The sequence below is a fragment of the Homo sapiens genome, chromosome 11, assembly GCF_000001405.40.
Source record: "Homo sapiens chromosome 11, GRCh38.p14 Primary Assembly".
Taxonomy (NCBI): domain Eukaryota; kingdom Metazoa; phylum Chordata; class Mammalia; order Primates; family Hominidae; genus Homo; species Homo sapiens.
In genome coordinates, this window is record NC_000011.10 from 73,810,586 (window position 1) to 73,822,845 (window position 12,260).

At 42.6% G+C, this 12,260-nt stretch overlaps 1 protein-coding gene across 9 annotated transcripts in view; it reads left to right on the plus strand.

Moving 5' to 3' along the window:
* MRPL48 (mitochondrial ribosomal protein L48) overlaps positions 1-12,260 on the plus strand; it is a 77,260-nt gene that overhangs the window by 22,712 nt on the left and 42,288 nt on the right. The window contains exon 5 of one of the 9 annotated variants that reach the window (XM_047427121.1): positions 7,238-7,362. The exons of 7 other annotated variants lie outside the window; for them this stretch is intronic. In XM_047427121.1, coding sequence (XP_047283077.1) covers positions 7,281-7,362 — 82 coding nt within the window. In that variant the 5' untranslated portion in view covers positions 7,238-7,280. The remainder of the gene's footprint in view (positions 1-7,237; positions 7,363-12,260) is intronic. One more of the 9 variants, NM_001318499.2, reaches the window with a different exon arrangement.

Genomic DNA, 12,260 nt, shown 5'->3' on the forward strand with positions numbered 1-12,260 from the left:
TTCTGGGTTACATGTGCAGAACGTGCAGTTTTGTTACATAGATACACGTGCCCTGGTGGTTTACTGCACCCATCAACCCATCACCTACATTAGGTATTTCTCCTAATGTTATCTCTCCACTAGCCCCCCACCCCCCGAGAGGCCCTGGTATGTGATGTTCCCCTCCCTGTGTCCATGTGTTCTCATTGTTCAACTCCCACTTATGAGTGAGAACATCCAGTGTTTGTTTTTCTGTGGTTTTTGTAATAGTGTGGAGTGCCTGCAAAGGATATATTAAGCAGCCCATTGGATACACTGATCTTGAGCTAAAAATTTAGGTCTGAGTTGAAACTATAAATATGAAAGTCATTATTTTGTCAGTTTTAATTGAAGCCATGGGAATGAATGTGATCACTTAAGGAGAAAAGGTGGAGAAGAGACCCAGGGATCATACCCTGAGGAATTTCAACCTTAAAAATCTGGGTAGAGGGAGAAAGTCTAATGAAGCTGAGAAAGAGAGACCATAGTGGAGAAAACCTGGATAGTATAGTATCATGGCAGGCAAGAGGAGAGCGTTTCAAGAAGGAAAGAGTGGCCAACCATGTTACAGTTTCAACTGTGCTACTGAGAGACCAGGAAAAACATGAACATGGTAGTATCCTTGGATTTTAGCAATCTAGAGGTCACTGGTGACCTTAGGGAGGGTAGTCTAGGTAGGTGGGGTGGATGGGTTGTGGAAATTAACCATGAGGTGACAAGTGAATGAAAGTCCAAGAGTTAGGAAAAAAATGACTGTAGACAATGCTTTAAAAAAGTTTGAGACTGAATGGGTCAATAAAATATTGGCAGGAACTGAAGAGAGATGTAGGGTGAAGGAGAGGTTTTTTTAAAAATTGTTTATCTCTTAATTATACTTTTTATTTTGAGAGATATAAAAAATATAGAAGAGTAAAAGAGTAATATGTCAAATAAACCCAGAATTGGCAACTATTAACATTTTGTCAGACTTTCATTGTCTTTTTTGTATTAAAACAAAAAGATCTATGTTCAAGTCATCATTATTCTCTAGCCTTGGTCTTATCCCTTATCCTTCTCAACCATAGGCAAAGTTTATTTTGAATTGGTATATATTCTGAGGAAAGTCTTTTAAAAAAATTATTAGGTTGGTGCAAAAGTAAAAATAATGGCAAAAACTGCACTTTTGCACCAACCTAATACTATTAAAATTATCACCTGTTAAAAAATTGAAATGGATGCATATGGGAAGAATAAACTTAAACTGTACAAAAGTGTATATGATGAAAAGTGAAATTTTATTGCCCTTTCCCAGTCTTTTTTTTTGAGATGGAGTCTCACTCTGTTGCCCAGACAAGTGCAATGGCGAGATCTTGGCTCACTGCAAGCTCCACCACCCGGGTTCACACCATTCTCCTGCTTCAGCCTCCCAAGTAGCTGGGACTACAGGCACCTGCCACCACGCCCCACTCATTTTTTGTATTTTTTAGTAGAGATGGGGTTTCACCGTGTTAGCCAGGATGGTCTAGATCTCCTGACCTTGTGATCCAACCGCCTCGGCCTCCCAAAGTGCTGGGATTACAGGTGTGAGCCACCGCGCCCGGCCCTCTTTCCCAATCTTAACTCCCTCATGATATCCACTGATAGCAATTTCTTGTGTATCTTTCAGGAAGATTTTATGTATATATGAAGATTTATATTATGTGTGTGTATGACTGTATCTTAATGCTGGACATTTAGGTCGTTTTTAGTTTTTTGCTGTTTCAAAAAATGGTACACCAGCCATTTTCGTATGTCTTTGTAAACTTGTTCCTGTACATTTGTAAGATAAATTCCTGGAATTGAAATTGCTGAGTCAATGCATTATGAATTGGAGATTTTGATAAGTATTGCCAGACTATCCACCAGAGAAGTTGTATTAATTTACATTTCTATTTTCCGGCCCAAACTGGGTTTTATAAAACATTTACTGTTAGCTGGAAGCACTGGCATGAACTTGTAGTCCCAGCTACATGGAAAGCTGAAGTCCCAGAATGGTCCTTTGAGCCCAGGAGTTTGAGGCTGTACCGCACTTTGATTTTGCCTGTGAATAGATGCCATACTCTAGCCTGGGCGACAGAGCAGGATCCCATGTCTAAATATATATATATATATATATATATTTATTTATTTATTTTTTATTGTTTTTGAGACTGAGTCACGTTCTGTCACCCAGGCTGGAGTACAGTGGCACGATCTTGGCTCACTGCAACCTCCACCTCCTGGGTTCAAGAGATTCCCCTGCCTCAGCCTCCCAAGTAGATGGGACTACAGGCATGCGCCACCATGCCTGGCTAATTTTTGTATTTATTAGTAGAGACAGGGTTTCACCATGTTGGCCAGGCTGGTCTCTAATTCCTGACCTCAGGTGATCCACCCACCTCGGTCTCCCATAGTGCTAAGATTACAGGTGTGAGCAACTGCACCTGGCCTAAAAAAATAATATTTTTTTTGTTAGTGAAAATTATGTCTCATTTTAATTTGTGTGTCTTGAATTTGTCATCTTTTCATATGGTTATTTGCCATTTGTATTTGTTTCCTAATGAATTGCCTATTTATTTACTTATTTTTGAGACAGAGTCTTACTCTGTCACCCAGGCTAGAGTGCAGTGGCATGATCTTGGCTCACTGCAACCTCTGCCTCCTAGGTTCAAGTGGTTCTCCTGCCTCGGCCTCCTGAGTAGTTGGGACTACAGGAATGTGCCACCACGCCTGGCTAATTTTTTTGTATTTTTAGTAGAGACAGGGTTTCACCATGTTGGTCAGGCTGGTCTCTAACTCCTGACCTCAGGTGATTCACCCACCTCGGCCTCCCAAAGTGCTGGGATTACAGGCGTGAGCCACTGTGCCTGGCCCATTTATGTTTTTTTGTCAATTTTTCTATTGGATTGTTTACTTTTTCATTTTTGATTTGTAAGAACTTTTAATATAGTTCTTATATATTAAGGAAATTAGCATTTCTCTGTTACATATGCTTGTACTTTTTCTAGTCATTTATCCCTTGACTTTATGTTTGTGTTTTCTCCATTAAACAGAAGCTTTAGATTTTTATATAGTTATGTTTATTAATCTTTGATTTCTAGATTTTGTTTCATGCTTAAAAAGGTCTTTTCTACCCTAAGATTATTTTTAAAAATCCATGGCTGGGCATGGTGGCTCACGCCTGTAATCCCAGCACTTTGGGAGGCCGAGGCGGGTGGATCACAAAGTCAGGAGATCAAGACCATCCTGGCTAACATGGTGAAACCCCGTCTCTACTAAAAATACAAAAAATGAGTGGGACGTGGTGGCAGGTGCCTGTAGTCCCAGCTACTCCAGAGGCGGAGGCAGGGGAATGGCGTGAACCCGGGAGGCAGAGCTTGCAGTGAGCCGAGATCTCGCCACTGCACTCCAGCCTGAGCGACAGAGTGAGACTCTGTCTCAAAAAAAAAAAAAAAAAAATCCTTCATATTACCTTCTGATAAATATTTTTTCTTTTCAATATGTGGTCCAGACCAGGTGTAGTGGGTTACGCTTATAACCTCAGCACTTTGGGAGGTTGAGGGGAAGATCACCTGAGCCCAGGAGTTTAAGACCATCCTGGACAACATAGGGAGACTCCATCTCTACAAAAAAAAAATAATTAGCCTGGTGGGATAGCGAGTGCCTGTGGTCCCAGCTACTCAGAAGACGAAGACTGAGGTGGGAGGATTGCATGAGTCAGACTGAAGTTGCAGTGAGCTATGATTTTGCCACTGTGCTCTAGCCTGGAAGACAGCACGAGATCATGTCTCAAAAAGAAAAAAAAAGAGTGAGGTGGGGCACGGTGGCTCACGCGTGTAATCCCAGCACTTTGGGAGGCTGAGGCCAGTGGATCACCTGAGGTCAGGAGTTCGAGACCAGCCTGGCCAATATGGTGAAACCCCATCTCTACTAAAAATACAAAAATTAGCCAGGCATGGTGATGCATGCCTGTAATCCCAGCTACTGAGGAGGCTGAGGCAGGAGAATTGCTTGAACCTGGGAGGCGGAGGTTGCAGTGAGCTGGGATTGTGCCATTGCACTCAAGCCTAGGCGACAAGAGTGAGACTGTCTCAAGAAAAAAAAAAAGTGAGGCTGGGTGCGGTGGCTCATGCTTGTAATCTCGGCAGTTTGGGAGGCCGAGGCAGGTGGATCACTTGAGGTCAGGAGTTCTAGACCAGCCTGGTCAACATGGTGAAACCCTGTCTCTACTAAAAGTACAAAAATTAGCCAGGCGTGGTGGTCACACGCCCATAATCCCAGCTACTCCGGCAGCTGAAGGAGAATCCCTTGAACCTGGGAGGCGGAGGTTGCAGTGAGCCGAGATGTCTTGCCACTGCACGTCAGCCAGGATGACAGAGCAAGACTTGGTCTCATAAATAAATAAATAAATAAATAAATAAAACAAAAAAGTGTTCCATCTGGAATTATAAGTGGAGCATGAATATAGTTTCTGCCTCTTAATGAATGAATGAAGTCAGTTGTTTCAACATTTATTAAAATATCCATGTTTTTGGCTAGGCGTCGTGTCTCATGTTTGTAATCTTAGCACTTTGGAAGTTCAAGATAGGTGGATCACCTGAGGTCAGGAGTTCACGACCAGCCTGACCAACATGGTGAAACCCCATCTCTACTAAAAATAGAAAAATTAGCCGGGCGTGGTGGTGCTCCTGTAATTCCAGTTGCTCAGGAGGCTGAGGCAGGAGAATAGCTTGAACCTGGGAGGCGGAGGTTGCGGTGAGCCGAGACCACGCCATCGCACTCTAGCCTGGGCAACGAGAGCGAAACTCCATCTCAAAAAAAAAAAATCTGTGTTTTTCCTGGAGGTTTGAGAATGTAACCTTTATCATATTCTAAGTTCCTGTGTAGATCTGGGATTTTTAAGTTTTTTATTTGGAGTCAGGATCTCTCTTTGCTGCCCGGACTTTGATACCATCACAGCTCACCGCAGTCTTGAGCTCCTAGGTTCAAGGGATCCTTCCACCTTGGCCTCCCAAAGTGCTGAGATTACATGTGTGAGCCACAATACCCAGCCTAAGTCTAGGACTATTTTTTGTTTTGTTTTTTTTACTTAAAAATTTTTAAAAATAGAGACTAGGCCTTCTGCCTCGGCCTCCCAAAGTGCTGGGACCGCTCGCTCTGTCACCCAGGCTGGAGTGTAGTGGCACCATCACAGCTTACTGCAGCCTCAACCTCCCAAGCTCAAGCCATCCTCTCACCTCAGACTCCTCAGTAGCTGGGACTGAAGGCCTGTGCCACCATGCTTGACTTTTATTTTTTTTTTTTTTATAGAGACAGGGTCTCCCTACGTTGCCCAGGCTGGTCTTGAAGTCCTGAGCTTAAGCAATCCTCCTGCCTTGGCCTCTCAAAGTTCTGGCTTCACAGGCATGAGCCACTGGGCCTGGCTTGGAACTACTTTTTATTTTTTTATTTTATTTTATATTTATTTATTTATTTATTTGAGAGGGAGTCTTGCTCTGTCGCCCAGGCTGGAGTGCAGTGGCGCGATCTCGGCTCACTGTAAGCTCCACCTCCCGGGTTCATGCCATTCTCCTGCCTCAGCCTCCCGAGTAGCTGGGACTACAGGCGCCCACCACCATGCCCAGCTAATTTTTTGTATTTTTAGTAGAGACGGGGTTTCACCATGTTAGCCAGGATGGTCTCGATCTCCTGACCTCGTGATCCGCCCGCCTCGGCCTCCCAAAGTGCTGGGATACAGGCGTGAGCCACCGTGCCCGGCCGGAACTACTTTTTAAACTTCATCTTGTTTCATTGATCTGTATATGTATTTGATGCCAGTATGAAACTGTTTTAAAGCTTTTTGGTTACTACAGTTTTTTAGTATATTTTAGTTTTTTATTTTTGAGATGGAGTTTTGCTCTTGTTGCCCAGGCTAGAGAGCAATGGCACGATCTTGGCCCACTGCAACCTCCACCTCCCGGTTCAAGCGATTCTCCCGCCTCAGCCTCCTGAGTAGCTGGGATTACAGGCATGCGCCACCATGCCCAGCTAATTTTGTATTTTTAGTAGAGACGGGGTTTCTCCATGTTGGCCAAGCTAGTCTCGAACTCCCGACCTTAGGTGATCCGCCCGCCTTGGCCTCCTAAATTGTTGGGATTACAGGCATGAGCCACCCTGCCCAGCTGGTGGTATATTTTAGTATCTGGTAGCTACCTAATTCGGATGTCATTTTTTGTTTATTTTGTTTATTATTTTTTTTTTTTTGAGACGGAGTCTCACTCTGTCGCCCACACTGGAGTGCAGTGGTGCCATCTCAGCTCACCGCAACCTCTGGCTCCCAGGTTCAAGTGATTCTCCTGCCTCAGCCTCCCAAGCAGCTGGGATTACAGGTGTGCACTACCATGCCTGGCTAATTGTTTTTGTATTTTTTTTAATAGAGACGGGGTTTCACCATGTTGGCCAGGCTGGTCTCTAACTCTTGACCTCAGGTGGTTCACCCGCTTGGGCCTCCCGAAGTGCTGGGTTCACAGGCATGAGCCACCATGCCCAGCCTGTTTATTTTGTTTTTGAAGTTGGCATCAAATAGGGCACGTTAAATGGCTATTGGAAAAGATCCAATAGGAATCATTTTGAAAAGATATGTGGGGATAGTGCATAATTTTTTCAACATTTTTCTATTTGGAGAAATTTAAGTTGTTACCAAGATTTTGCAATGGAAACAACACTGTGATGAACATTCTTGGGCAATATTTGTGCCATTGTCTGATTACTTAGGGTACATTTCTGAAAGTAGAACTATTGGGTCAAAGGAAATACACATTTTTAAAGCTGTTGATGTGTATTATTACTAAATTGATCTCCAGAAAGATTGCACCATTTTATACTTCTCTATTTGAGAATCCCTTTTTACATACTCATCAACATCGAGTATTATTTTTAATATTTGCTAATATTGTAGGTTAAAACGTGCTTTCCCTTGTGTTTGGAATTTTCATGTCTTTGATTACTAGTTGGTTGAACATATTTTTGTACATTTACTTGCTATTTATTTATTCTTTCCTTTGCCCATGTTTCAACTGTGACTGGAGAATAGTAGTCCCTAGAAGGTTCCAAGTCCCAGAATAACTCACTAATGTTGGCTCACCAGGATAATTTCCACTTGAAAGCACACAGTTTTGTTGGTATTTTTTATAGGTTCTTTCAGATATTTATTTTTGTTGTTGTTGTTGTTTTTGTTTTTGAGAGAGAGACGGTCTTGCTTGTGGCCCAGGCTTGAGTACAGTGGCATGATCATAGCTCCCTGCAGCCTCGAACTCCTGGGTTCAAGCAATCCTCCTGCCTCAGCCTCTGGAGTAGCTGGGATTACAGGTATGCGCTACCATGCCCAGCTAATTTTTTATTTTTTAAATTTTTTGTGAAGACAGGGTCTTGTTGTGTTGCCTAGGCTGGTCTTGATTTCCTGGCCTCAAGTAATCTTCCCACCTCAGCCTCCAAAGTGTTGGGATTACAGGTGTCAGTCACTGCCCCCAGACTGAGATATCTTTAAAGTCAGAAATTTCAGAATTGAATTACAATGATGTTCAGAAAGGAAGAGTAGGGAAAGTGCCCCATTCCTGCCTTCACCCATCCACTCCGTGTGTGGGCTCTGGGGACCATTCCAGCTGCTCTATCCAAGGAGGGGCTTGATTGTGGTGACCATCTTTTTCTTATTGATTTAAAAATAATAGACAGATAGAAGTAAATATATAAAACTAGATCTAAAGAGACAAGACGAAGGGAACTTAGAGTGCTCTCATTACAGCATGAATAAAAAGGTAGAAGCAGAGAAGCGTGGTATTTTCAGACCCAAGTAGTTCAGTGTAATTAGAACAACTGAAAGAAATTTGAAAAGAAATTTTGAAAAATGTGGGCAGCTGGCAGGGACAAATCATTGCAGATTGTTTTGGTAAAATATCTTAAGAACCATTTTTGTTTTGTTTTGTTTTTAAATATACACTTACTGAGCACATACTGTTTGCCAGGTGGTGGCATTGTTTCTGCCCTGGAGGGCCTTACAGTCTGTTGAGTGGAGAGAATAACCTGTAATTAGCTTCTTCGCTGGGGGCTACCCCAATTTTTTTCTTTCCCTACCTGCATAGCCCTGTTAAAAATGCTTATCCCATTTCTGAATGAGAAATAATTATAACAAAGTTGTTTATCCCCATCCTGGATTGATGGGTTTAGTTCTCAGTTTAATGAACAAGAACATTGAAGGACAGTTGTCTCTGGCATATGTAAAGGAAAGGGGAATGCTGTGGGAAATGTCATTGCATGATTACATCTTATAATTGTGATAATTGAAAGATTTTTAAAGCCTCCATTTGAAACCCTGGGGTTTTGTGTCTTTCTTTAGTAAGGAGTTGCCTTTTCTCTCAGGAGGCTGCAATGTTAATGTGACAGCAGGAAACCCACTTATTGACATGACACAGGGGAAAAGAATTCAGTTGAACTTATTGGAAATCAGAGGCTTTCAAACTTGTAAATTTTATAATTAAAACAACTGGCTAATTAAGCAGTTTAACCACTGGTAATTTGACCAAAACCTTTCATTTAAGGGGCAGAATGGTTCATTTAACAGTGGTTTGAACCAGCTTCTTAATTAAGCAGATGCTCTAATTATAGGAATTGCTCCAAACTGAATTTTAAAATGCCTCCTTGCCAAGGAATTCCAGTAGATAAGAGGCTGAGGCAAACATTTGCAGTACTTTCACCTACGATGTGTTATCATCGCAAAGATCCTTTTTGGTTCTGCTTTTTGAAATTACAGATAGATGATTGAGTTTCTATGTACTACTTAAAGATGGTGATTGACATATGAGTTTTCTTTTTTATTTACATAAAACGTTTTATTATATATTGGAGGCATGATAGAGCTATCACTATGAATTAAACTCTTGATGATCTTACCTAAGTGCTTACCTAAGAATTTCAAACTTTGGGCAACAGAAAACCATCAAAATTTTACCTTCTGTCTCATTCATTGTTGTCTTTACAGTGCCTGGTATAATGCCTGACAAATAGTAAATATCTATATTTTAAAACAATTGTCCAGCCTGGGCAACATGGCGAAACTGCATATCTACAAGAAATCCACAAATTAACCTGGTGTGGTGGCACGCACCTGGGACAAATTAAACTGGTGTGGTGGCACACCCTGTAGTCCCAGCTACTCGGGAGATTGAGATGGGAGGATCACTTGAGCCTAGGCACATCAAGGTTGCAGTGACCAAGATCATGCCACTGCCCCCCAGCCTGGGCAACAGAGCGGTTCCTGTCTCAAAACAAGCAAACAAACAATTGTGTGTGTGCAATAAATAAATGGTTAGATTAATGAAAGAGAATAACATGATTAGATTTTTATTTTAAAAGGATTAATCTGTCAGCTCTCAAGGACGGAATAGAGGAGAGGGATGTTGGAGGGTGTAGGTGCAGATCAACAACTTAGCGGGGGCTACCAATCTAATCTCCCTATTTCCTTCACATAAGAACCAAAATGATCTTTTAAAAATATATATCAGACATATACTTTCCCTGCTTATGGCTGTTCAGGATGAAATCCAAACCTTTAACAAGGCCCAGCACGGTTGATTCCGACCACTACTCACGCTGGTCTCTTTCTTTTTTGAGACAGAGTCTCGCTCTGTTGCCCAGGCTGAAGTGCAGTGGTTCAATCTCTGCTCACTGCAAACTCCGCCTCCCGGGTTCAAGTGATTCTCCTGCCTCAGCTTCCTGAGTAGCAGGGACTACAGGCATGTACCATCACACCCGGCTAATTTTTGTATTTTTAGTAGAGACAGGGTTTCACCATGTTGGCCAGGCTGGTCTCAAACTCATGACCTCAAGTGACCATCCGCCCCAGCCTCCCAAAATGCTGGGATTTCAGGTGTGAGCCACTTGCCCAGCCCACTCTCATCTCTTAGGTGCATTCTGTCCCTCTCACTTTGCTTCAGTCACACTGACAGCTTTTCTGTTCCTTGAATGTCCCAAGCTGTGTGCTACATTAGGGCCTTTACACATGCTGTTTCCTCTACCTGGAACACCCATCCTCCATTTTTTTCATCCAGTACACTTCTATTTGCCTTTCCAATATCTTATTTTATTTATTTGTTTTTGAGTGGATAATATATATATATACAAGGAACAGATTTTAAAAGGTGCAAAGGAATATAAGTAACTCTCTTGCCTTTCTAGCTACTTCCCCCCCACTATCCCCCCTGGGGGTAACCACTATTATAATTTTCTTCTGAATTCTGGTTTCAGTTAAAATCTCATTTTTTCACAGAGGCCTTCCCTGATGTTCTATTCCAAAAATAGGTCTATCTGTTGTATCACCATAGCCCTCCCTGTGCTTTTTGTTTTCATCACTTACCAGAATTTGTAATTACTTTTTTTAGGAGAGAGGGTCTCGCTCTGTTGCCCACACTGGAGTACAGCATCATGATAATAGTTCACTGCAGCCTTGAACTGGGCTCAAACAATCCTCCCACCACAGCCTCCTGAGTAGCTAGGGCTATAGGCACATGCCACCATGCCCAGCTAATTTTTTTTTTCCTTTTTATAGAGACAGGGTCTCTTCTATGTTGCCCAGCTGGTCTTAAACTCCTGGCCTCAAGTGATCCTCCTGCCTCAGCCTCCCAAAGTGCAGAGATTACAGGCATGAACTACCACACCTGGCCACAATTTGTAATCTTATATTTACTTTGTGACTATTAGTCTAATGATTCTGTCCTCCCACTAGACTATAATCTCCATAAGCAGAGTTTTGTTGGCCTTGTCCCCAACCCTTTGCACGGTGTCTGGGATATCATTAGTACTCAATAATTAAGCCCTTCCTAAGCCTTGCCTGTTTCTCTAAGCTCATCTCTTGCCACCCTGATCCTCTTGCTCTACTTTAAAATTATCTCTGGCTCTTTCTCTGCCTATACCGTGTTTTCTCCTAACTCCTACTTATCCTTCAAGTTTTACTTAAAAGCCACTCACTCTAAGAACCCTTTCCTGGCACTCAAGTTCATCTTAAGTGCCCCTCCCGTGTACAGTGCTTATCATAGACAGCCCTTATCACCTTGCATTGATATTAGTGTCTGTCTTCCTAGGTGGCAGGTTCTGTATTGCAGGGACTTAGTCTTTGTTCATTGTTGTAGCCCCAGCTTCTAGGGCAATGCGTGGTACCTATCAAGCCTGCCATGGATATTGGGTTGGTTGTACACTGCACAACTCTGGTGTGTGCCATTCATATGATTGTGCAGTATAATGGTTGCTGCCTACCCTAATAGGTAATAATAAATATTTGTTGAATGGATGATCATACTTTGGAGAGTTCAGTGCTTTTTAGGAGGTCTTATTTTGAGTCATAATAAAATCTTCGATGAGGTTGGTTTTCAAGGTCCTGGCCTGAGGATCACTGTGTACCCATCAAAGAGATTTGGATATCAGCTCCATGGGTGGGTCCTCAGGTTGGAGAGTCTAGAGCCCGAAGTTGCAAAAGGTCAAAGGTCTTAGATTCAGAGAGATGAAACTGGGGCAGCAGTCAGGAAGATACCTTGGTTATATTCTGTGCTCTTTGGGAACCTCTGGCCAAAAATACCTCCCTATTCCTTACACGGTAAACTCTTACTCTGCTTTCAAGAATGCAGCTGTTTCCTCATCTGAACCTATTCCCCTGCACCCTGCACCCCCACCCCAAAGGCAGAGTTAGTTTTTTCTTCCTCTGAGCACCTATGACATTGCTCACGTGTCCATTAAAGTACTTAGTACACCGTAAGGTGATTATCTGCTTTCCTATCTTCCTTTCATACTATACCTCGAGTATCTCAAGGGAAAGTAGCATATTTTATTTGTCTTTGTAACTGTCTCAGTGTCTATACAGTTATTGGCATGTAATTGTAAATGTGGATTAATGCATATCGTGGAAGGGATCCATGATATTTCTGGGTTGTCTTGATGAAATAGCGTGGATTGTAAATGTGGAGAAGTTCTCTGAAGCCAGTACTATCTCTGATAGGCCTCACACAGAGCAAACCTGCTTGGAAGCCCATTTTAGAAAACAGAGGCCTAAGAAAACTTTTACTTGATGTCACTTAGATCAGGAATCCCCAAACCCCAGGCCATGGACCAGTACGTGGTCTGTGACCTGTTAGGAACCAGGCCACACAGCAGGAAATGAGGGGCAGTTGAGCCAGGGAAGCTTCATCTGTATTTACAGCCCCTCCCAGCCACTCCCCATCACT